The sequence below is a fragment of the Homo sapiens genome, chromosome 1 (assembly GCF_000001405.40).
Source record: "Homo sapiens chromosome 1, GRCh38.p14 Primary Assembly".
NCBI lineage: Eukaryota > Metazoa > Chordata > Mammalia > Primates > Hominidae > Homo > Homo sapiens.
The window spans coordinates 54283924-54310096 of NC_000001.11; the positions used below are offsets into that span (position 1 = coordinate 54283924).

Sequence of the window (26173 nt, forward strand, 5' to 3'; positions counted from 1 at the left end):
TCTGTGAAAATGGCAATTTTGTGATTAACAGCCAACAATTACTCCTCAGCAGCAAGAGCAAAAAACTTTTTTTAAAAATGGGGTAAGGTAAACATCCATCTACATTTTTCTTCAGGTTCTTTCAGAGACTGGTGTTACATTTAACAATTTCATTCTTCTTATGTACCATTATTTAACCACTTTTTTTTTTTTTTTTTTTTTTTTTTAAGACACAGGGTCTTACTATGTTGCCCAGGCTGGCTTCATGTGATCCTCCCACCTCAGCTTCCCAAAGTGCTGGAATTACAGGCATGAGCCACCACCCCCCGCCTATTAACCAACGAAATAACAGGCATTAAATCTCAGTGTCTGCTAATGTGGCAGTTAGTATCCCTTTGGTATTCGGTATTCTGAGTTACCTCTTAGGTCATTACCTTTTGAAATGGTTTGCATTGGCCACTTGTAGATCTAATTTTATGGCAAATCATTCATGTCCTTTGCTATTTGGGTATTTGATTTTTTATATATTGAGGATCTAGACTAAGGGTAAGTTATAATTTAAAAAAAAAATTAAAATTATTATTATTATAATTAGAGACCTAGTCCCCAGGCTGGAGTGCAGTGGCCCGATCATTGCTTACTATGGCCCCAAACTCCTAGGCTCAAGGGATCCTCCTGCCTCAGCTTCTCAGGTAGCTGGGAATACATGTGCACACCACCATACCCAGCTAATTTTTAAAATTTTTTGTAGAGATTAGGTCTCACTATGTTGCCCAGGCTGGTCTTGAACTCCTGCCCTCAAGCAATCCTGCCACCTCAGCCCCCAAAAGTGCTAGCATTACAGGTGTGAACCATCGTGTCTGGCCTAAAAAAAAAATTAAATGAAAACTTGAACCTACAAGTACTTTGTCGCCTTATTTATGAGGCTCTTCACTCTAAGATGTTTTCCTATGAGATCAGGAGTGAGTCAATGGTTCTAGGAACTGAAGGTAGTGGATGGTCCACAGTTCTTTGAATGCAACGGCCAGGGTCACCATGGTTCTAGTAAATGCACGGTGTAATTCTCTGAAATGTGGGGTGGAAGATGGAGTTTTGCTGTTCTCCAATGAAGGAGGACAAAAAACCAAGACCATGTTAGCATTGACTAAGGGGCAGGAAGCTGAGGAGACGCCTTTATCATTTAAAGCTTCTCAAGCAGCAAAACTAAGTCGTCCTGCAGTGCTTAAATTTGTGCCTTGAATTTTGATAGTTATTGCTGTTCTTCTTTGATTATGAAGCAAACATGTGCTCATAACAAAAAACTTTAAAAAGGGCAGAAAAGTGTGAAGAAGAAAACGAAAAGCAGCAACCAGTGGTATAGGGCAACAAAAGAGTTAAGAGGTTGGGAAAGGCTCAGAAATAACTTGCTCACAAAATCTAAACCAAGGTACCCTCCCCCCAACCACATCTATGAACATTACGCTGAATCCCTGCACCAACCCTCCTGCAGCTCAACGGCAGCAGGGGCTGTTTCTCCTGTCTCTGAGACCCAGCACAACGTGAGGCATACAGCAGGTGTATTAGCAGGATCTAGAATACGGGTAAGTTATACTTTTTAAAAAAAAAACTTTAAAATTATTATTATTATAATTAGAGACCTGGTCCCCAGGCTGGAATGCAGTGGCCCAATCATGATTACTACGTGTATAATTCAGAGACCTGCTCAAAGCTGACCGTCCAGAGCCAGGCCTTTCCAGACTGCTAGGAATCGGCCTCCCTCTGTGGTTTCCAACTTTGAGCTGGAGCTCCATTAAGGCGCTCAGCAAAGCGTCTCATGAGTTTTCCCTAACAACACAAAACCAAAACCCCTGAAAACCCCCATTATTCACTGAGGCCTACAGCATGCCAGGGCTGCAGTGGGTGCATGGGCTAGAAGTCCCCCACGGAAGAAGAGAGAAAAGAACACTGGATTCAGAAGCTAGAGATCTCCTAGCTGGGAGCCCACGGACAGGCCCCTTTCTCGTTCTGGGACTCAGTTTCCCCATGTGTCCAATGATGGTGTTAGAGGAGATGACCACTAAGGCTCTTCTTCCAAGCTGCTCTCCCCAGCTAAGTCTACACACCAAGGGGAGCTAGGTCTGGAAACAGCAGCTCTTCCATGAACAGGACAGCAACCCTCTTTCCAGGGCACCTGGGTTTTAACTCTTCTCTGTTCATTATAGGCCATTTTGTGATCAAAGATTAAACACTACCGAGAGACCTGTTATCTGAGCCCACAGATAACAGTGGGTGACATTGGGTTCTAACCGCCCAGGCCTTCCTTCCTCACCAATGCTTATCCACTTTTTGGACTCAAGAAAGCCAACTCAAACCACCCATGCAGTTTGGTAACATGCACTTTAAAAAACAACAACAAAAACAACAAATAAAGCTAATTTAAAATTCTTTTCTAAACAGCAAACAGGCCTTAAACAGGGTGATGAGGCCCATTCCAGCCAGGTGCCTCCTCTAAACCTACAGTCAACTTGAAAAGCCCGAAGTGCTTTCCCAGAGCACTGCCTGAAGTTTGCCGTTCACAGCCAGGGAGACTTGTGAAGAGGACTGATCCCACAGCTCCATCTCTAAAGAGCAGGGTTTCTTGATGATCCCAGGATGGGTACACAGCCATGGGGCTCAGGGACTACCCCTGCCTCTGCCCTATCCATGCTCCAACGGGACAGACACATGCCACTGCAACCAGAGATCCTCAGCAATCCCACTCCGTAAGGACACCTGAAAACCTCACCACCAGTCCCACCCTAGGAGATGGATATTCCCCCTCTAACCTCCAGGGTGGAGAAGCAGGGTTCAAACAGGGGGCCTCAGAGCGGTGCTTCCAAGAGAAAGCGCCTTGGAAGCCAGGCTAAGGAATGGAACTTTCTGCTCTGGGCAATGGCGGAGCGGGGGGACATCTACTGCCCCACCTCACCCTGTGCCGGGCATAGGGACCTTTCATGCTCACTCAACAAATCCCAATACCACCAGAGTACCCCAAATTCCAGGAGCAAGTGGACTTGACGAGTCCCCACATTCCCAGAGGCCTCTCATCCCACCCTGAGAGAGAAGCATCTCAGAGTAGGCAACAGTGTTGATGCTTTTCCTTCAAGAAGCAATGGTCCAGGGGCATTCCCTGCAAGATACTATCTTCTGGCCTCATTTCAAGAACCCCAGCTATCCTCACTCACAAACTAGCCTGAGACCCCCGCTCCAACCCTCTCTTTAAAATTAGTTCTAGGCACAGGAAGCTCCTGGAAAACTGAATAAAAACAAATGCTCAGAGGGAAATGTGGGACTCCTGCCAGGTCGGCCAACCCCTCCTGACTGATTTACAAGGCTGCAAAATGGTACTTTGTTCTGCAAATCCCCTCCCCTCCTTGCCCCGCCCTAATACTCAGGCCTTGGCGTGCAGCAGCTTGGGGGCCACATGCAGAACCGCATGTGCAGACGACTTCCTTGACTGAAACTCAACACAGGCTGCGTGGCCCAGGGCCCAAAACACCAGGGGGTGGGAGGTGTGTGCTGAGGGTGGAGCCATGTGCTCAAAGCTGGGAAATGGAGGTCACTCAAGGGAGCTTGGGGCACTCCTGTGATGACTACATACAGAGGGCAAGTGAGACAGGAAGCCTCCAAGTGACGCCTGTCTGGTGGCCTGGGGAAGGAGGGAGGGAGGGATGCTGGCACTGGTTTCAGCAAGACAGGGGCTTCTGTGCAAACTATGGAGTAACCCGGGTCCCTCTGGGGCCAGGTTTCCCAGAGGGAATTTCAGCAGCAACAACAAACTAAAGATATAAATCAGGAATGGAAGCGACCGGGGGAATGTCATCACCCAGATGGAAAGGCCAAGACAGACAGAACTGGGGTTCAAAGAAGGGAAGGGGACAGGAAGAGGATTCCTGGTTTCATATGCAGACCACAGAACAGAATCAGTTTTGGAGAACAGGGGCTCTAATTGTGCAGTTTAGAGAAAACAGAGCTGTTGCTACGTGAAGAGGCAGAACCAGCTGACGTTAAAAATAGGTTTGGATGACACACAGGAGTGACACAAGATCCCTGCCTTCAAATAGTCAGGGGGCCATCGTGTGGGAGGAGGGATGGATGTGTCTCCCGGCACCAATGGACGGCCCTGGGTCCAACAGTAGATGCCCCAAGCTACAAAAAGCTTCTTGGCTGCCTCAGAAGGGGGCGGGCTGTGATAATTTGGGGTCGCTCCCAGCGGAGACATGGCACAAACCATATTAAAAAAGGATTGCCATAGGACCCACCACCGCCTGGGCCTGGGGATTATTAAGACAAAAGAGTCCTGCACTGAGGGTCCCAGGATCAGGATTCCAGCTCTGGCGGCAAACCACCTACTGTGTGATCTGATCAGGCCTTCCTGCCCCGGGCCCTGGACTCCACACAAGGCAGCTGATGTCCTGCTGCTCCAGTGACACTGTGGATGTCCAAGGAGCTCTTCAGCAAGCGACCTGAAAAGGGCCACGTATAGACAACAAAAGCCTCAACCTGTCAGGGCCAGGCCATCAGACCCAAATGAGGGTGGTCTTGATACCTGAGCTTATTTTACTAAGTCCCAGCTCATGTCTGCCACCTGGGTATGACCCTGGAATGCAAGAGGGGCTGGAGAAGTGCCTGCCTTTTCATTTTGATCCCATACATCAGCAGGGGTGGGGGGGGGGAGGGTAGTATTTATTCCCCAACATCGCTGGGAAGATGTCATTTCTGTTTTCCTGGTAAGGAAACTGAGGCACAGAGAGCTGTACTATCTCAAGGTCAGGCAGCTAAGTGGCTCTAACATTAGTCCCTCTGTGCCTCCACCTTTTATCTTGGGTTCAAAAAACAAAACCACAGTCCACTCTGGGAGGCCAAGGTGGGCGGATCACAAGGTCAGGAGATCGAGACCATCCTGGCTAACACGTGAAACCAAGTCTCTACTAAAAATACCAAAAAAAATCAGCTGGGTGTGGTGGCGGGTGCCTGTAGTGCCAGCTACTCAGGAGGCTGAGGCAGGAGACTCGCGTGAACCCGGGAGGTGGAGCTTGCAGTGAGCCGAGATCGTGCCACTGCACTCCAGCCTGGGCGACAGAGCTAGACTCTGTCTCCAAAAAAAAAAAAAAAACAAAAAAACAAAAAAAAAAAACAGTAATGTCCCACTCACCCCTGTAGTTCCCAGGAAGAGTTCTGTGTGCTTTGACTCTTATGAAAAGAAATAGCCGGCACTTCATTAAACACATGAGAGAAGCACAATCCATTCCCGTGTTTGAGACTGTCTATATGTTTTTGTGCTTCCCCAAGTAGGCTGACCTTCTAGCTCTGCTCTTTCTGACAAATACTTCAATGAGTTGGCATTCACCAAGGGGTGTGTATGTGTGTGTCTGCACACACATGTGTGTCAAGGAATGCAAGATCCCACTGAAGAGTCTGTTGGATCTAACTGGCAAATTACCCTGAGAGGAGGAGAAACAAGGTGGGGGGTGGGGTGGGGGGCTGTAAAAAGGTTCCTAGTGCTTTTTACACATCAGATGCATCAGCAAACACTCGCTTCTGGGGCCACCCAGACTGCGCTGTGCTCACCAGAGCAGATGACAGGTTGCAGGTCTGCCCTGCAGGTCAGGAGGATGCAAGGAGTTGTGGTGACAGAGAACTGAGGGACAGGCAAGGTGCTCTGGGCAGGCGCTGTGAGCGGGGATTAGGGGGATCAGGGAGGCTTTGTGGAAGAGATGGTACTTGAGCTGGGGCCTTAAAGGACGGCAGGACTCGAGGATGCAGGAGGTGATACAGGGGTGAGAGATTATGCTGTCATTTTAACCCTCCCTGGGCACAGGGCCTCCTGACAGCCTTTCCTTAGAGAGCAAATCCCTCTAGGACGCCACCCGCCCCCTGCACCATCTCCAGGGTAGGGGGTGGGTGTGGGGCTTGTTCGCTTTCCCTCCCCCAGGATAGGGGGGCTCCCCCACAGGCGAGGAGCCAGCCACCTAGTCAGAGAAGGCTCACTGTCCCCAGGCGGTCCCTTGTGACCCAGCTCATGGTGTGGCTCATCCAGTCTCTCTCCCTCCATCCTTCCAACAATCCACAGTCACTACCAGAACTCAGAGGCTCTGAGGAGTAAAGGCACTTGTCCAAGGTCACATGGCTGGAAATGGGCAGAACCAGAAGTCAAGCCCAGATCTGCTAAAACCACAGCCCCAGCTCTTGGCCACACCTCAGCTTCTCTGATACAAATTTCAGAATCGACACTTAAAAGTGGTCACCTGGAAACAGGTCAGGGCCCAGTCCTTCCATTCACCAGGGGCCAAGTCCTCAGGCACCTCACTTTACCTTCTGCACCCCTCATCATTTGCTAAGGAAGGGAGCCCCCTACCCTCTGTGGGGGGCATAGGGAACTTAAACATGACCCTTAGGTAAGGTGCCCAGCCAGACTCAGCCAAGGTACGGGTTCAGCAACCGGCGGCCCAGAGCCAGAGACACAGCTCCAGGTAAAGGACCACGTGCTGACGTCCTAAGATTCCCTGACCACAGCAGGCTGGGGATGGGGAGACAAAAAGGGGCTGAAAGCTGTGGAAAGACTTGGTCTTCTGAGAAGGGGCCTCTCTCTTCTTAGTGGCCACCTTAGGAGGAAGTGAATTCCCTGGGCTGGGAAGTCTGAGGCCACCATACTGCCGGGCCCTGCCCATTCATCCCAGGAAGCACCCGGCTTCTTCTGGGGACTGGATCAAAGGTCACTGTTTGGTAAGAGGTGGAGCCCCATGTATTTAATAATTAGTACCTGGTGAGGGAGTGGATCCCAGCCAGTGCACCCTCCTCCACAGGCAGATACCTCCCATCTGGGCCCCATGGCACAGGACGCAGGTCCCAGGCATGTGCATGCAAGACAAGGAAGATTAAGGGCTAGAGGATCCCCCCTAGATGAACACTGCAGAGTGGATCAACAGCTCGGTATTTGTACAACGTTGATTTTCTTCTTAAAGAGAAATGAGCTTCAGGCCCTAGTTTACACCATTAGCAAAACACACACACACGCACACACACACATTTCCCACTGTCTTAAAGGAGCTACTTACAACCACAAACATGTCATAGTAGGCCAGTGACAGCTCCTTAACAAGAACACTGGCAGTTGCTTCTGCAAAGTGGAAAATTCCCTGGCGTGGACCCGCGCACACGCTCAGTTCCAATGACAACTTAATCCTGCCAGGACCGAGGTGTGCAGAGAACAGAAAACCACCCGCTTCTAGAAACTTTTTTTTTTTAAGTTTAAAATAAATCATTAAAGGCAGGGCCCTCAGAACATCTTTCAAGGATGGGAGCCCACACTCTCCTCAGTGAGCATCAAATTTAGTGGGGACCAAGTCACTTTCCCTCACCTCCTCTGCTGTGACAGGACAAAATGTACACAGTCTGACAAGTTCACCCGGGTCCCCCAATGCCAGGGAAGGGGCGCATAATTCAAACCCAACACTGCCTCTTCTGTGTAAATGAACAGTCGGGAGCCCTTGAGCTCCTTGGCCAGGAGGGAAGGCAGTGAGCAGTGGACCACCGTGGTCTGCACAGCCACCCCAGCGCACAGTTGCCACACGGGTTCGGCGCTGAGCAGATGCCGTCTAAGCCTTTAAAGCATGCACTAATTGCGCTAATTTAGCTAACAGTCTCTGTTTCGTCCCCCACTCTGAGTCAACCAGCGTCCTTTGGTACTGCTGGAGAGATGCAAGCTGTTGGCTTTAGTGTTATTTTGTCAGCCATTAAACGATTCATCAGAGTCATTAATTGATTTATTACTGCTGCCTGCTCAGAGGGTTTAGCAAATAAAGAATGATGTAGGTCACAAAGCAAAGGAAATTGGACCCAACAACACTACGAAGCGCTGGGCACTTATTCGAGTGTCTGCTGCTGTCCATTCAGGCAGCCCTCCACGCCCAGCTGTCAGGCAAGGAATAGCATAGATGGTTCTCCTGCCTGAAATCCAGGTGCGAGCCCGCATCCTGCTCAGGCACCAGTGCTGCCAATGGGGAACCTTGTCTGGAGCCCCTGGAAGGCTGCTCTCGGGCACCTGCTAGATACAGCTGAGAAGGAAGGGAGAGAGGCCCACACTGACCCCCTTACCCACTAGGTGGGTGCTGAGTAGCAATGGCTGGGCCTGCAGCTGGGCCCTCCAGTGCTCTAGGAAGCCAAGGACAGACCCTTCAGCCAAGACTCTACTCCCCTGGAGGTGACAAGCTCCAGCTAGGCCCTCCCTCTTTCTCCCCTGCACTGCCTAAGGGAGTGGGAGGAATGCAACAGTTGGTGCATGCCAGGAAATGGCAGTCCTGGGATTCAAACCCAGGTCTACCTGACTTCAACATCCACAATTAATTCCCCTCTACCGAATTCTTCAGACTGACACAAGAGAGGACTATAGCTTGGCCTTAACGAAAACCCTGACAGAAACTAGCTAGGTAACCAAAAGCAAGGCAACCCCTTCCCTTCTCAGAGCCCCAGATGCCTCATGTACAAATGACAGGGTGGGTGAGCCCCCAAGCTACAGGAAGGGATGAGAGTCCAGGCCATGTCCTCTACGGCCCCAGCTGCCCTGGCCACTGTGAAGCCTCATGTCAGTTCCCCCAAGAACACTCCTGTGTTGTGAGCGAGGCCCTGCACAAGCCCTCTGAGGACCCCTGCTGCCCTTCAAACCCCAGACTCCAGGGCGCAGGTCCAGGAAGGTTTGTCGCACTCAGACCAGACAGCGGTGACCCTCATCCCACCCCAATCCCAGCCCTCAGGGCTCTGAACAAACGAGAGGGAGTGGTGCCAAAGCAAGGGAATGCTAATGCCTCCAACAGGAGAATTCACCAGGACATGAATTCCGTGTGTGTGTATGTACATGTGTCTGTCTCTGGGGCAGGAAGGGTAATATCTCTGGTACCTGATACCCCTAGGAACCAAAAACAGCCATTCTAGATAACTCAGATTCTGGCATCACAGTTATCAGCCCCTCCACGAGGCATCACATCCCTACCCTGCCAAGTGGCCTTCTAGAACAGAGCCTGGCATGCTTTCAGAGGAGACTCTTGGAGGATGGTGACTGGATGGTTTGCTCCAAAAGTAATACAGAGGGGATGAAGAGATGGTTCAGGTACCCACCAAGAACCAACCTGCTTCTGACCAAGACACAGCCCCAGCCTGCGACCCCAGTCTGTGGCCTGCTAAAGTCTGGTGGGAGCCACAAAGCTAAAGGGCAAGGCGGGGCTGCCACTTCGGAGCTCACTACAGATTATTTGTTGGGCATCTACCAGGTGCACACAGCAGGGCTTTCTTGTTTGCACCCACCAAGAAGAGGGCCAGAGCACCCAAGAACACACACATCGCTTAGGATCCCGGTGAGAGATCTGCTAAGGGGGTGGGGCCTGGGAGGATCGGAGGCACGCGGGCTGGTCAGAGGCTTCTGAAGGGACATGGGAGTTCATCCACTGAGAATTCTGACCCAAACTCAGCTTCTGAAACAAACACGGGACTTCTCATAGAGGTGGTCCATCCCCTACTCATGCCACCCATCGATATGGTATTGAAAACACAAAGGAAGGTCTTTACAAAACATTTATTGGGGTCCCATTCAGAGAAGAATAACCTATTATTACTTACACATATTTAGTACCTAGTACCAGCTTACAAAGGCCTTTCTTTCACACATATTTCCTTGATGAATACAGCAACCACCCTCTGCACAGGCAGGTTCCTCTCTCTGCAACACTCTTCTCCTCTCTACTCAGGCCTGGGTGATACCCTTTCGTCATTTATGTGTTTCTCAGCACAGTGTTTGTCACACCTGACTGTTAATTCCTTATTAAATTAGCCAGCTATCTTCCAGGGATGGGAGCAGGAATGGTGTGCACAGCACAGGGAAGATGCTGGCTCAGTAAATATTTTTTGGATAAATAAAATTCTTGCAGAAATCCTGCTTTTCGGCCAGGCATGGTGGCTCTCGCCTGTAATCCCAGCACTCTGGGAGGCTGAGGCGGGTGGATTACCTGAGGTCAGGAGTTTGAGACCACCCTGACCAACATGGTGAAACCCCATCTCTACTAAAAATACAAAAAAAATTAGCCAGGCGTGGTGGTGGGCGCCTGTAATCCCAGCTACTCGGGAGGCTGAAGTGGGAGAATCCCTTGAACCCAGGAGGCGGAGGTTGCAGCAGTGAGCCGAGATCACGCCACTGCACTCCAGCTGGGGTGACAGAGTGAGACTCCATCTCAAAAAAAAAAAAAAAAAAAAGAAAGAAAGAAAGAAAGAAAGAAAGAAAGAAAAGAAAAAAGAAATCCTGCTTTTCAAGAGTAGTCACCAAATCTAAAAGGTCAAACTCTAAGACTAGCTATCTCCATCACCTTCCATTAACTTACCATTTGGCTACATCCTAACAACTCGCCCCTCCCCTCCAAATAACAACAAACAAAACACACACCCTGCCACAAACTGTTCCTTCTGCCCGTAAAGCCCTCACAAACGACTTGGGCAGGCCACATCTCCCAGATCCATTGGTCATTAAAAATGGAAATCACCCTTGTATCACCCCCTCCCAAGACAATGGGAAAGACAACTTCAGCTAGTGTCTGGGGAAAGCATTTGTAGCTCCAAGGAAGGACAAAAGCAATGAGAGGGAGTGGGGTGGCCTCACAGAGCTGGGGCCCTGTTCTCATTCCCACAGTGGAAGAAGACAAGACCAGCCCAGTGAGCTGGGTGCAGGAAGGGGTTCAAGTGGCCTCTGTGGGTTACTGAGACCTAGTGGCCTCTCCCAGTCCTCTCGGCCAGCCTCCCTTCCATCTCCAAGATGAAGCCTGCTATTTCTTCTCAGACAGGTTGGATTCCCTGGCCTCTCTGAAGACGAGTGTCTGCTCCACTGGCCCAGGGAGCCACTTTCCCATAGGCTTTGGCTGCCCACCACTTGTGGGGCCCAAGGACAGCAGAGGAAAAAGGGGCTTGGACAAAAGCTGAGAACAGCAGGGTGTAGGGTACCACCCTGCGATACCTTCCTCCACTTCCCTGAAAATGCATCCCACAAGCAGAGGCTCCTCCACCAAACTAGGGACTGTCCCTTACAGCTAGACCCTCCAAGCCACAGATTTATAGCAGACATGGTTTTTGCAATCAGAGACAAACCACAGAGCAAGCCCTGAGCTCATGCGGGAGGAATCCATCACCCCCAGCCTCCCCTCCCCGTCCCTTCCTCAGTCCCTCACTTGACATGAAATGAAACTTGAGAGGGGCAGAGAGAAGGGGAGAGCAGAGAGACCAGGATCCCTGCAGCTCACTAGGGCCCCCCGGCCGCATCCCTACTCTGCCCCACCCCTGTGCTGATCACGTCCTGGGAATGGCTCCAGCCCCTAACAGATCAAGTCTCAGGTCCCTCACCACTCCCTCCATCCCGGTCCATGTATCTACCTAGAGAACTCCCAGTTATCCATCAATGCCCAGCTCAAATGCCCCCTGCTTCCTAGTCCAAGTGGGTACTAAAGTCCCAAGTAGGTTCATGAGCTGGAACTCAATACTAGAAGTTACCAGTTTCCACCCGTGTCCCTTTCATGAGGCATCCCACGGAGCATGCAATACCAATGGCCTCCTAACCAAGCCGACACAGCACTGGATTTAGGGCAGGAGCTCCAGCTCTTGGGCTCCCTGACCAATTCAGAGAGGCAGGCAATTCACCTCTGACTTGAGCTGCACCCTGTAATATAGGACAATCTCTGGGTTGACAAGAGATTTTAAAAAAACAAGGAGATAATGAAAGGGCTGTGATCTCATCTCAGCCTTTCTTCTCTGCCTCCCATTCCAACCTCCCCCTTTTCTCGTACTCTAAGCTTCAGCCACAGGGGACACTAGCTGGTCCCCAGCCTTTGCACATGCCCTTCTCCCCTCCATCTGGAATGCCCACCTCCCTGCTAGTTTCTGCCATTCTAACATATCCCTTAGGCTACCCTGGACACAAGGCAGGATGATTTATTCACCCTCCAATCCTATATGAGACTCTACCTTGACTCTTCCAGCATTTTTCTACCTGGTCTTATTATATAGACAAAGGTTATCTCCCTGCAGGACTGTTGGTTCCAAAAAAGTGGAATCCAAATATTTGTAATGCCTACTATCAATAAACATCAAATGATTGGAGACTGCAAAGGAGCTTTCTGGACAAAGCTAGGCCTGGTTCTTCTGGGACATTTCTCCCTTCTTCCTTATTTGTCTGCTTTATAAAGATGTAACTTTAAGGAACAGACCAGATTTTGGTAAGCCCAAATGTCAAAAGGTGCAAAAAGCAGCCTTAACTCCCAAAGGTTTTCATGTCTCTCTTCTCCTCAAACAACTGTTGGAAGAGACAAACATGAAAACCTCTGGAGAGATCTGAATGTGAATGCTGGTTCCGTTCCTAGCCTGAAACTTGCAAGTCAGAGATAGCAGGACCATTCTTGACAAGGTCCCTACTTTGCTGCAAATCTGGCCTAAGGCAGTCTGTTTTTCTTCTATTTTTGTCTAACTCCATTTAAGGCCATTGCCATGGTCCTCTCTGGCCAAGACAGGAATTATTAATTTAAATTTGGGCCTTCGGTAACTTTGAATCTACAACATAGTACAGGAAGGAGTCCCACAGCCAGGCTGGACAGATGTGGCCTCCGGTCCATACACCAGCGTCAAGGGTGGCAAAGGTCTGGAATCCGGTTTTCCCAAGATGTCTGTGCCTTGGCTGTGTCATCTAGAAAACGAGGACAATAAGCACTGCCTGCCTCACACGACTTGTGAGGGTCAAGTTTCTGCTGCATCCCCTGGAACAGTGCCTGGCACGCATCCATCAGGTGCTCCAGAAATACTTGCCAAATGGGTATTCATTCTAAACCCTCTCTACCTGTTTTCCCCAAGGGTGGCCTGTCCCCTGGGGACCAGCTGGGTATCACTCTCCGGCAGACCAGACTCCCAGAGCCTTGCCATCCCTGCCCCCAAAGCCTCCTGGCTCTCTGTCCCAGGAACAATAATAAGCCCCCACATCCTAAGACTCTATGTAGGCACCAAAGGAGGCTGATCTCACTTAATCCTCCCAACAATCTCCTGAGGTGAGTGAATCCACTCATTTATTTTATATCCGACCTATCTTGCTGGTGACACGAACAGTTAAGTGTCTTGCACAAGGTCACAGTTAATGGATGCTGGGATTTTCTTCCTGGCTGGATCCAGACATCACAAACTCACATACCACCCACCACCACCTCCAGTGGGAACCAGAAGGAAGATTTAAGTAATGGAAGGGAAAGACCTTAACCCTGAATCAGGTCCTTTGGGTCTGGTACCAATTTGGGACAGGAGTCCAACCTGAATTTGCCTATCTGTAAAAAGAGAAGTCACCATTCCCTGCCTGGCCTACCTCACAACAGTGGCATGAAGCACAAATGAAGAAACAGACATAAAAACTGTCTCAAGGCTGGGTGTGGTGGCTCACGCCTGTAATCCCGGCACTTTGGGAGGCCAAGGCGGGCGGATCACTTGAGGTCAGGAATTCGAGACCAGCCTGGCCAACATGGTGAAACCCCCCTCTCTACTAAAAATACAAAAATTAGCCGGGCGTGGTGGTGCCTGCCTGTAATCTCAGCTCCTTGGGAAGCTGAGGCAGGAGAATCGCTTGAACTTGGGAGGCAGAGGTTGCAGTGAGCCGAGATCATGCCACTGCACTCCAGCCTGGGAGACAGAGTGAGACTTTGTCTCAAAAAACAAACAAAAAACTGTCTGAGAACAGAAGGGCAACGCCACCATCCCCATCACCCTGGATAATCAAAGGAGCTGGGAACAAAGATGCCACACAAGAGCACTGGGTGAGGAGTCAGGCTTGGCTGGCTGCCCCCAGAAGGCCCTTCCCTGTACCCATAAAACAAAGGGAATGGATTCACTTCCTGGTTTCCAAGCCTGGTTGCACATCAAAATCATGTAGTGAGCTTTGCAACAACTAAGCTGCCTGTCTTCCTGAGGGGGCAGGGATCCAGCTTCTGGGAGCTCCTGGACCAGATGTTCCATCAGATCCCTCCTCAGTTCTGTCTCTACCCTGACCCCAGCAGGGGAAACAGATCCCAGGTTCTGGGGATGGCTGGGCCAGATGCGCAGGCCTCTTCTGCCCCCTCATGCTCCCCAACCAGTCTCCTAGGAGGCCTGCAGGAAGCCTCCGGGTGCAGGTCAGGGCTTCAACAGCTGCCCAAACAGGTATGGGCCCAGATTTAATTGGCCTCTTGGTTAAGCTTTCTAATCTCATTAAAGCTGCCTCCATCAAGCAGACCGAGGCTCTGAATTGAATCACAGAAGAGCGCTGCCCTGCCCCACTGTAAGCTGATTAGGTCTGGGGAGGCCTAGCTCGGACCCCTCTCTGCACTACCATGCCGTACGGTCACACGGAAGGCACGAACCCAGACTCACGAAGAGGGGCACACTGACGAGGGGGCAGCAGGAAGGAAGTTCAGCGAAGCAGTCCCAGCAAGGGTGTGGTACCAGACCTGCCTACTCCCACCACTCTGGGGAGCCAGTGCTGTCCCCAGGATTTTCAGTAAATACAAACCACAGAGTAATCTGATTTCCTATCTTATCAGTGTGCAGTGCCAGAGGCCACCCGGCTCCAGGAGAAAGCTGCCCTTCTAGGCAGAGCGTGGGACTCACAATTACCTCTCCAACTTCTTTTCGTAGCTTTAGAGCTCTACTTCATTCAGATGGAAAGGAGGCAGCAGAGGGGTGTGGTGTGGGGCCCAAACACCTGCTTTCCATCTCTAGAAGAGAGGACTTGTCTTGCCACTCACTCTCTCCCTGACCCCTTCCACCTCCACAAGGAGCTACACTGCGGCTCTTCTCCGATCCAGCTCCTGGACGTCAGCTTCAAAAACACCATGGTCAGCGTGTGCAAACAGCCCTGAGCAAATACGCGTCGCCCACTTCTCCATCATCTCGCTTTATCTAAATATATCCCAAGGAAATAACTTGGCAGTGGTGAGAAATTCTGCAGAGGCTCCAAAGTAACAAAAACAAAACACACACACACACACACACACACACACACGAGCTCTGTTCAAGGTGCCACGCTGAGCTGAGGATAGGCATGGAGATACAAACACTCACAAGGAACAGCCACCCAGGGTGTGCTGGGGGTTCAGTCCCACTGAGGGTTCGTGCTTGGTTGTTATTAATATTTAATAGGGAAGACAATATTTTAGAAGAGACAGGACTCTGTGCAGGTTGCAGGCCAGGCTAGCATAGATGCCCTGTCCAAGGGAGATGTTAAGGGGGCACGCCTAGCCAAGTACACACACACACCCATCCCACACCCTCTGGGACTTGCTGCAAGACACTGGTATTTTCCGCTCCACTTGCCAAGAATGGAGCCACCCTGCCCTGCATGCTTGATCCTCAAACTCCTGGAAACAAAGGCGGCAGTCACGGGGGCGTGCTAGCACACCTCAGGCACTGGTCCGATGTTCCCCTACCCTCTGCCATTTTCACTAAAGGGGAAACTAAGGCCCAAAGCAGAAGACAGACATGCCCAGAACCTGGCCAGGGTCCCTCTTACTCCACCACGCTGTCGATAATTTGGATAGAGGTGGCTTTTTTTTTTTTTAATGCATTACACACATCTAGGCTATTCACAATCACCCCCAAGCCCACCCTTGTGGGCACAGGGAAACAAATTATTAGGAAAATGAGAGTCAAAGGGGCTATGGGCAATCCCCCAAATCATGCCAGCTCTCAGCAGGCCGGCCCACTTTCTCAGGTTCCACACAACCACCCCAGTGTCTGCCTTCTCCATCTGCCATCTAGACACGGACATGAGGCCTGGACCACTACATCAGGCCCCTCATTAGTTTATTAGCCTTAATCTACTTCTTTCTCCAAACAGATCAAACCCAGATCGCTCACACGGCAGGCTCACAACCTGAGGATTTTCTGCTCCTTGCCACACACCAGCTCAGCCGAGGCCTTCAGGACCTGGCCTGAACCAACCCTCATTCCCAGCTCCACCGACATAATTCCTCCTTCCCTGAACACTGCATGTCTTTTTAAGCTTCTATGCATTTGTACAGACTTCCCAGACACTGGAATGCTCCTATCACAGTCTTCCTTCTCAGTCACCAATACCAGAACTCAATAATCAGTGACACCATCCAATCCTAGCTATTTAAAGACAAGAAAATGGAAGGCCGAGAGAGGGTAAGGGAGCGCCACAGAAGATAAGGTTAGCAGTGCTGGACTCGTGGCTGGCCAGAGTCTTCATTGACTCCAAAAGCCCTCAAAGACCCTCTCCAACTCAACAGCCCTACAGCAAGATCAAACCCAGGAGAGGGCCACTGAGGACCAAATATCCAAGAAAGAGGGCCCTTAGGGAGTTCTAGAGGCAGCACAGGAAGAGCTGGCCTGGGGTCTCAGGAGGCCAGCAGAAACGAGATGCATGCTTGGGCCTGGAAGCCCAGAGAGTGGAGAGTATCATCATGTCAGTTCAGCTCAGGGGCCCAGAGCAGGTGCTCGGGGAGGATGTGCAGAACGACCAAGAATGGTACCTGGCACACGGAGACACTCGGTCAACATTTGCTGTTGCACACATTAATGACACAAATGGCCAATGACAAACCAGTGCAACACAGAGTACCGCACAGGCCTGTACTCAGCTCCAGGATCCCAAAGAAAGGAAGGATTATTTCTGCCGGAGGGTGGGGCTTCACAGAGCGGTGACATCTGATCAGACACCATCTGTTATTTTTCTCTAATTGTTCCACATGTGTGAAATTTTGATTCTCAAGCTAGAACATAGACTCTGAGAGGGCCAAGACCATAGCTGCTTTCTCTGCCTTCACCTACTCTGTCTCCAAAATGTCCATTCCATGGATGGGCTCTCAGTGGATACTGAAAGAACTCCAAAAAGAGCAATGGACCCCATTTTTTTTATTTCAGAGAGAAGGGCAAAGCAAAAAGTTGTTTTCCCACAAATCTGCGTTACCTTGAAGAAGTTCCCTGAACCCCATCAGGAAATCCACTGATATCCACGGGCATTTCCAACATCCCAAATGCTCTGTGCCCCTGGTGTGGCATTTAAGAGATGGACACTCTTAGGATCTCCTGAATGCTTCCCACATCTGACAGGTGGCACTGGGTCTCCTAGACAGCTTATCTATTTCCCCCTTCAACAACCCTGCAGGACAGGAATCAACATCCCCACTTGCTTGGGAAAACTGGGGCTCAGAGAGGTCACTCGGCAAGGTTAGGAGAAGACCTGCATCTCATCTTTTACCACATCACAATGCCCATAATATTAATTCTCTGCCAACAGTTTTCCGCAACAGAAGCCTCACCTGGACCATTTGGCAGGAAGGAATTAATGCCCATTCAGAATCTCATCAACAATAAAGCGGTGTTGAAGACCAGCAGCAGCAGCACGCCAACTTTGGTTCAACAGCACAAGCTAACCTAAGGGGCACACTGTACCAGGTGGTGCTCACTCATCCGGACTGTGCTGTACCCTGAGTTTCTGCAGACTGTGCCCCACTTTTGTGAGGTCTCAACACCCCCTACCCATGCCCAGCCACATCCCTGTTTCCATAGAGGCCCAGAAGAATGCAAACTCCAATTACTCCCTTTCTTGTTTGGATAATGGCCACTTCACAACTCTCCCTCCCACGCGGGGACCCTCGCGGCTCCTAAGGCACATAACCCTGAAGAGGCGCTCAGGCCAGGGAGAGAAGAACAAATGGGAAGGGGGATGAAAAACACACACAACAGTAAGCTCCAACCCAAACAGAACTAATCCATTCAGAGCCAAGCGAGGCTGAGCAGATGGGAAGCCAGGCATCCCCCACCCACCTGTCCGGCCGCCACCACCACCCTAGGTTCCGGGGCCTTCACCACAGTGCTACAATTACAAAGGGTGACCCAGCCACATGCTCCCGGGGCCACCCCTGCTCCCAGGCACCCACAGGCTCTGCCTTCATCTGGTTTGGGTTTAGAATCCTACCCAAGCCTCCCCCAAATTATGTGTGCAAAGGCAAGAGGAACACAAACACCCCAGCCCTATGGCACCAATCCCTGGGAAAGAGGAAGACGGAGGCACGAACTATGCAATCCTCTCTGGATTCTCCTACAGCTCCAGAGGGCGGCTGGGTGGGGGTGGGGGGGTACCCCCATTCTTTCCAGCCTGGTGCCTGCCACTCCCACTCATACCATCGTCCCATGTGCGCAAGGACACCTTCATTCTGTGTCTGTTTGTGTGTCTTCCCCTCCAGCCTGTAAGCAGGAGGACAGGAACAGGACAACCTCTCTTCCTCACTGTAGCACCTACCCCCTGCCCCCGGTGCTTAGTTAGTGCAGGCAAGGCTGTGCAAAATGTATTCTAATACCTGCTCAATGAATGTAGCTCACGACTCTGAGCATAATTTTTTTTTTTTTTTTCCTGAGAAGGAGTTTTACTCTGTCACCCAGGCTGGAATGCAGTGGCGTGATTACTGCAACTTCCATCTCCCGGTTCAAGTGATTCTCCTGCCTCAGCCTCCCAAGTAGCTAGGATTACAGGCATGCACCACCACACCTGGCTAATTTTGTATTTTTTAGTAGAGATGGGGTTTCATCATGTTGGCCAGGTTGGTCTCGTCTTAGCATAATGTTGATGTGTTTATTCCTTTAATATTTGTTTCTTTCTCTAGCTTTTAAGCACCCTAAGGGCAGAAATACCACCTGTCTTATCCATCATTGCCTCCCCAGTAACTGACACTTAGTGGGCGCTCAATAAACATTTGTTGAGCAAAGGAATAACAACTCACCACTTCGAGAACACTGACGTGATATCAACCAGTGGAGGAATCTCCACCACATTAGAGGATGTTAAGGCTGCATGGGGGCTCAGAAACCACCTGCTCATTTATGACAGGAGGGAGTATGACTTGTTTGCAGCTGCAGACCAAGTCAGTGCGGTCAATGCAGGACTCGAACCCAGGCCCTGATGCCAGGCTCCTGACACCCAGCCATGCCCTGGCAGTGCTAGGCCCTACTGGGGGAGACAAAAGACACAAAAGATGGTGCCTGCTGCTTAGGAGAAGCAGGTGATCTAGCGGGGCAGACGAGACAGACACGTGAAACAATTAGTGAACAAGATAACTGCCAGGCTAGCGGTATTATATCCTGATATAATAAAGTACACGCTGTACAACACAATTAGAGACAAGAGCGAGGCACACCGCGCTAATTACACAGCACAAAGGGTGAGCTCACGGGAGCCATGGGGTGCTGGTGCTGCCACAGAAAGCTCTGGAGGCCAAGAGAGCAGAGATGAGCTTGGGGTGGGGGCGCCTCTGCCATGCAGCCTCTCCTGACTACCTCTCCCTCCTCCTTGGTGCTCCTGCTACCAGTCCCTGTGCTAGATGATCCCTTTTGACACTTCTGATGCCTCGCTGCCCTTGTTCGGGCAGTTTGTTATCAACCCCGCCTAGACAGTCAGCCCAGGGGGCAGGGGGCAGGCCCTGGCACCAAGCCAGCCTCTGGCTCATTACTTCAATGTAAACAATCACCCGCATTTCCCCTCACTATGCACTGGGTTCCATGCTGAGCCCTTCCTTGCACTCATCCCGTTCAATCCTGACGACAACTCTATGAGGTGCACATAAGCTCGGAGGGGGAAGTCACCCACCCAAGGCCACAATGCCCATAAACAGCAGTCAAGAAACTGCATTAAACAGGTCCACCATGCTACAAATCTCGTGCTCTTAAATCTTTACACTCACACGGTCCTGCATGGAAGCCCTAGCCACAAGCAGCTACCAAGTACTTGAAATGTGGGCGGTTCAGAGACGCACCATAAGCATAAAATACGTACCAGACTGCAAAGGCAGTTTGGGGGAAAAAAATATAAAAGATGTCATTAATGATTTTTACACTGATGACATCTTACAGTGCTATTTTGAATATATTTGGTCATAATTAAAGTATATTACTGTAACTAATTTCGCCTATTTCTTTTTACTTTGTTATGTGGCTACAAGGAGCTCTGAAATAACCTGCAAGGCCCTCAGTACATTTCTACCAGACAGCGCTGCTCCACACAGCACTGCCTCCACGTGTTTGCAGAACGAATGATGGGTAGCACGGAGACAGAGGACAGGAGACCGGAGAAGGTGGCCCTTGTCAAGTTTCAGACAAGGGGAAACTTGAACCAAGATGTGGCAAAGGGGGTACTCCTGAGCCTGTGCAGGACAAGGGAGCCATGACGAGTTCTGAACACAACTGGGGAGCACTTGGGTCGGGCATGTTGGAACCAAACGACACAGGATGAGGACAGCAGGGCAGCCTTCGACCTAGAGTCTTTGGCAATGTGAACAGGCGGCGAGGCTGTTTACCATGCTGAAAAGGGAGCTGGGAATGATGCCTCCATGAGACAACAGTGGCCTGGAACCAGTCACCTAGTGTCCTTCCAGAACATGACAACAATGCCTCAATTTCCTGAATTAAAGAGCTCTTGGGGGGATGGGGGTGGGGAGGGGGGCTCTCCTCCAAGGACCAGGGCGTCTTCTGGGCACAGGGCTAGCTGCACGCAGCAGGAGTGAAGGGGCTCCCCAGGGAAGAGAAGCCAGGTGAGGCTGAGTAGGGAGTTGCAGGTGATGGTGGGAAAAGGACACAGCAGGCTGGAGTGTGGAAGAACAGATAACTCTGGCAGAAGGTCCAGTTCCTGCAAAGGCTGCATGGGGAGCAGGTGGTAAAAGGACAGCCACAGGCAGAGGAGGAACAAAGCACAGTCCAGCGGGGTCACTGGAGCCAGACCCCAGAATGTTTTGCTAGACAAGGAACACTGCTGGTGCAAGGCTGAGGGTTGAGTTTGTGGATGCTGTCAGAGAACAGACAGGTGCCTCACCAGTGGAAACAACCCAGGGCCTTGTAAAAAGCCTCTCAGCTGTCCTCTGCTGAGATGAGTTGGCCTACGCAGGGTAGCTGCTGAGAAGGCAATCACAGATAAACAGAGAAACACATTCTCAGAGCCTGGAAGACCACCACCACCACCCCCACCGACACCATGAGGAAGCGAGGATGCGTGGGACCCGGAGCGGCTCTTAGTGGAGCATGTGCACTCCACCAGCATGGCTGAGGCTGTCCTCCACGCCAGCTGAGATTTACCATAACCAGAGAAAGGCCGAGCAGAGACCATGTATGCCTGGCGGGAGGCGTGGCGTGGGAGGCCAGGCCAGGGGTAACTAACTTCAGCTTTGCCATCGCTAGCTGAGCAACTCTGGGCTCTTTCTTAACTAAGTAAGATGGAAACCACCACCCTTTACTGCCCAGGGCCTATGACGAGGAATAAAGACATTCAGTAGCTGTGAGTTTCTCAGCACAGACCCAGGCCCTGCCCTTCCCAATATCACTGGTCCTCCAAATGCCTCCTTTCCCTTTTCACAGCACCTGCCTAGCACACCGGCCAGCACATGGTAGGGTTTCGATAAATAGCACCATTTTCTATGATGAGACATCACAGCTGAGGAAATACCAACTTAGATCCATCTATGGCTGGAGTTGGAGTTTAGGAGAGCAGAAAGTTCACCTAACTGAGCAATCACAGAGCCAGGGAACATTTTCAAAATGGAAGAAAGTTTCAGGCTCCAGGCCACTGGCTTCCTTTGCCAGACTGGGCAATTGGGAGCTATGGAGAAGCCAGGGAACTTGAGTTTGGATGCCATCATTTAGTTATTTTTCTTTAAAAAAAAAAAAAAAGAGAGAGAGAGAGAGACGAGGTCTCATTATGTTGCCCAGGCTGGTACTTCTGAGCTCATGTGATCCTCCCACCTTGGCCTCCCAAAGTGCTAGGATTACAGGAGTGAGCCACTGCGTCCGGCTGAGTTTGGATTTATTATAAAAGACACGCCATAGGTGGAAAGAAACTCTCGCTTGGATTTGGGGCTCAAAGATGGTCACTATTATCTTGCTTTCTATCTAGCAGCCGTCTCTCCCTGCTGTCAGTTTCACCCCAAGCCCAGTCACTCTTATCTGCAAGCTGTTTCCTATGATGTTGTCTTCTACCATGATACCCTTCCCCAGTCCTCATTTGTAAAAGTACTACTAACTTTGAGGGTCCAGGGGAAACACCACATTCCTCGGTAGCCCTTCCCAGACTTCCCCCAGCTGAAGGTTCTCCCTCTCCCATCCTATCCCCAACTCCTTGCACACTTCTAGCCAGACTGGCAGCTCCTGGGTTCATTTCTTATTCCTCCTCCTGGACTGTAAGCACCCCTACTATCCCCTATCCCCCAGGATCCAGTCTTGCCGGCAGCACAGCACAGAACGCACTGGGTCCCTCCCAAGGAGTGAGTGGATATTACACACTTGCTAAGTGAAAGAATGAGAGGAATATGATAACGCACAGCTTGGTGTGATAAGCCCCAGGCTGGTGTCAGCCGTGTGTCAAAAAACACATCCATTGGAGAACAGGGGACAGCTACAAGTCCAAACAGGAGTACAGTTTCAGTCCAGGACACCAGGCTCATTACTGGCAAAGACTGGGTTATCTGAAACCAGACTGTGCAACAGAAGTAAAAAGCCCGGCCACACTGCAGCCTCACCTGAGGCCATCTTCAACTCTTACCTCGGTCATCCCTTGGCTGAGTGGGAAAGCCACTAGCTGGGTACACCAGGGCCAGGACCCTGCATTTCTTAGGAGCTGCCACTGGTATTATCATTAGAAAGAAGATAATAATACTAAACATTTTTTGGTATTTCTGTGTGCTGAGCGCTTCGTGTGATTGCCTCTCTTAATCTACCTTTATACCAACCCCAAGATATAAATATAAAAACCACCTCACAGGCCAGGCCTAGTGGCACACACGTATAATTCCAGGAGTTCGAAACGAACCTGGGCAACATAGCGAGACCTGATCTCCACAATAAAAAAATTTTTTTAAATAAAAAAGCACTTCACAGAGCAGGAAACTGAGGCTAGACTGCCCAGGATCACCTGAGGTAGTGGACAGAGGTGGCATGCGCCTAACACGAGGCTCTTTTTACTACAACTTTCCACCAGGACCCTCCAACTACTGCTTACCTTGACTTTCAACCTTGAGATTCTAAAGGCCAAACTATGAAGACTCAAGCAGCATTCCAGCTGTTCCCTGCCCACAGCCTCCAGGAGGAAGGCCAGGCCTCAACACATCACCAAGGCCCTACTACCTGGGCACCCTAAAATCCCATTACTCAGTCAGACTGTGCTCCCTCTACTTCTTCTGCCTTCCGGCCCTAGAGCCCAGGGCCCAGGGCCTCCTCTAAAGGAACCAGCTGCCCCCAGTTATGGCCACACCCCCACTATGGTCACGCCCCCACTATGGTCCCATCATCTTACACTATGGTCCTCCAGCAAACACCCGCTCTACTCTCTACTCCCAAAACAGCTCCAGGTCACCTTCTCTATCAACCTTTACATCCACTCCCAGGCACCCCCTGATCCAGGGAGAACCAACCTCTCCCTGTCTCCCCTAGCCCGGGCCAGGACTTAATGCTGGTCTGGGCCCAGCACAGAATCTACACTCCCTTACTATGCTGTGTTTAACACTTCCTCTGGCTCTACTAGACTTGGGCTCCTTGAGGGCAGGGACCTTGTCTTAATTGATCTTCATATCCGTCAGGGGTGTGTGAACCAGAGCAACTCCATCTTGAAAAGGAGCTGGGTAAGATGAGGCTGAAACCTACTGAGCTGCATTCTAAGTCACAGGATGAGACAGGAGGTCAGCACAAAATACAGGTCATAAAGACTTTGCTGATAAAATAGGTTGCAGTAAAGAAGCCGGCCAAAACCTACCAAAACCAAGATGGCGACAAGAGTGACCTCTGGTCGTCCTCACTGCTACACTCCCACCTGCGCCGTGACAGTTTACAAATGCAATGGCAACGTCAGCAAGTTACCCTATATGGTCTAAAAAGGGGAGGCATGAATAACCCACCCCTTATTTAGCAGATGATCAAGAAATAACCATAAAAATGAGCAATCAGCAGCCCTCGGGGCTGCTCTGTCTATAGAGTAACCATTCTTTTATTCCTTTACTTTCTTAATAAACTTGCTTTTACTTTGTACTGTGAACTCGCCCTGAATTCTTTCTTGTGCGAGATCCAAGAACCCTCTCTTGGGGTCTGGATTGGGACCCCTTTCCTGTAACATCCCTAGTGCTTATAGAATCCATTAAGTCATGTTTTAAAGCACAACTTCCCCTGAAACAACCTCCAAACCCCTTACCAGAGATGCTCTTCAATAATTAAAATAACAAAGAAGAGGCCGGGTGCTGACATCTGTAGTTCCAGCACTTTGGGAGGCAGAGGCAGGCAGATCACTTGAGGTCAGCTGGAGTTTGAGACCAGCCTGGCCAACATGGTGAAATCCCGTCTCTACTAAAAATACAAAAATTAGCCGGGCGTGGCCGGGCACGGTGGCTCATGCCTGTAATCCCAGCACTTTGGGAGGCCAAGGTGGGTGGATCATGAGGTCAGGAGATCGAGACCATCCTGGCTAACATGGTGAAACCCCGTCTCTACTAAAAATACAAAAAATTAGCCAGGCGCGGTGGCGGGTACCTGTAATCTCAGCTACTTAGGAGGCTGAGGCAGGAGAATGGCGTGAACCCGGGAGGCGGAGCTTGCAGTGAGCCAAGATTGCGCCACTGCACTCCAGCCTGGCCGACAGAGCGAGACTCCATCTCAAAAAAAAAAAAAAAAAATTAGCCGGGCGTGGTGGCGCACACCTGTAATCCCTGTCACACAGGAGGCTGAGGCAGGAGAATCACTCGAACCCAGAAGGCAGAGGCTGCAGTAAGCCAAGACTGCACCACTGCACTTCAGCCTGGGTGACAGAGCGAGACTCAGTCTCAAAAAAAAAGAAGAAGAAGAAGAAGAATAGGATAAGCCATTGATCACCAAGGAAAGCAGAGATTTTTCCAAGGTTAGCTCTGAAAACTAGGACTCTTTAAGAATACCTGAGCTTCAAGTCAGTGACCCCACCTCCCCTGCAAAAAAAAAAATACCTAAGAAAAAGGCAATCTCTGCAGAAAAATCTCACTGATTTAGAATAATCAGGGACAAGAGACAAAAAGATGGTCTACCTTAACACTGCAACAAAATCATAATGCTCATCTGATGAACTGGGGCATATGTGCATACAGCTTTAGAGACTCAATGGGGTCATCTGTCACTGGTGCATCCCATGCGGACAAGCAAACGGAACACACCAATTTCAGGCAGTTTAAGATTATCAAGCAGGTTTTGTAACCTTCCCACATCTTATTAACACCACTCATTTGCTTGACAAACCTGCCCTCTGGTCTTGGACTGAAGGACTGAGGCATGAGCCCTGCCCTGAGGCCAGTTATAAATTTCAAACTGAGCCACCCCCAAAAAACACACAAGTTTTCCAAGTAGCCTAATGAGAGCTGATGATACTGAGTCGGGCCAGCCCAAGTTGACATTGGCGAGTGAAGTTTTTAGTCAAGCTGCAGTAACAGGATAACCAAGACAACATCGGCATCCCTTCTCTGCGCAGCAAAGGGAAATGAAGCTGGTTCTCAAACAGCCAGCCTTGCTTTGGACTGATATCTAGGGAAACATTCCCCTTAGGATTCAAGGCAGACTGCACCGTGAGAAATCATTTGTCCTTTGCACACAGTCAATGAGCTTAGACAACGCCAGGCAGTCAGAAAGTTGGCTTCTGTGCCACTCACTTGTTCCTGACACCACTTGGTAACTCAAAGACCCTGGAGTTTGGTCCTGAAAAATCCCTAACTCCCCGGTTGCCCTGTACTCAGAAATAACCAAAAGCTTTAGCTGCTGCCAAAAAAGGGAAAAGAAAGAAAACCCCAGGAACACACCAAATCCATGTCCAACTCCTTTGCCCCTTGGAACAAAACCCATTGCAGGCACACACAAAGCGGGGGAAGGCAGGACAAAGAAGAGGCCAGGTCACACTCGACAAGGCGCTTTCTTGTCGTTTCCAAAACAGAACTGTCCTCTATTAAAATGCTCTTGTTGCTCGGATGTTGGTGCGGGAAGGGGTGGGGGGAGCACAAATCTCAAAACAAAAGGCGAGACACAGCATGTAGGGAAGCCCGGGCAGGCTCCTTCTCCCTGCACACTTCCAAGCCTTTGAATACCCGCAGATCTCGGTCCAGAGCTGGCAGCTGTCTGTTATTATCCCAGCAACTCC

General features: G+C 50.5%; 1 protein-coding gene across 17 annotated transcripts in view, besides 4 other annotated features; it reads right to left on the reverse strand.

Annotated features, from left to right (window-relative positions):
- SSBP3 (single stranded DNA binding protein 3) overlaps positions 1-26173 on the reverse strand; it is a 188059-nt gene that overhangs the window by 58492 nt on the left and 103394 nt on the right. The gene's annotated exons all lie outside the window — the stretch shown is intronic.
- Positions 3313-3607: an enhancer, noted in NCBI's record as "tiled region #4453; K562 Activating DNase matched - State 5:Enh". NCBI's record gives its function as "activates a minimal TATA promoter and a strong SV40 promoter by Sharpr-MPRA in K562 cells {active_cell/tissue: K562}" and the evidence as "EXISTENCE:reporter gene assay evidence [ECO:0000049][PMID:27701403]".
- Positions 6301-6973: an enhancer, noted in NCBI's record as "H3K4me1 hESC enhancer chr1:54755897-54756569 (GRCh37/hg19 assembly coordinates)". NCBI's record gives its function as "activates a minimal SCP1, AML or CMV promoter by ChIP-STARR-seq in naive H9 embryonic stem cells {active_cell/tissue: H9 hESC(naive)}" and the evidence as "EXISTENCE:reporter gene assay evidence [ECO:0000049][PMID:30033119]".
- Positions 13810-14310: an enhancer, noted in NCBI's record as "H3K4me1 hESC enhancer chr1:54763406-54763906 (GRCh37/hg19 assembly coordinates)". NCBI's record gives its function as "activates a minimal SCP1, AML or CMV promoter by ChIP-STARR-seq in naive H9 embryonic stem cells {active_cell/tissue: H9 hESC(naive)}" and the evidence as "EXISTENCE:reporter gene assay evidence [ECO:0000049][PMID:30033119]".
- Positions 14311-14811: an enhancer, noted in NCBI's record as "H3K4me1 hESC enhancer chr1:54763907-54764407 (GRCh37/hg19 assembly coordinates)". NCBI's record gives its function as "activates a minimal SCP1, AML or CMV promoter by ChIP-STARR-seq in naive H9 embryonic stem cells {active_cell/tissue: H9 hESC(naive)}" and the evidence as "EXISTENCE:reporter gene assay evidence [ECO:0000049][PMID:30033119]".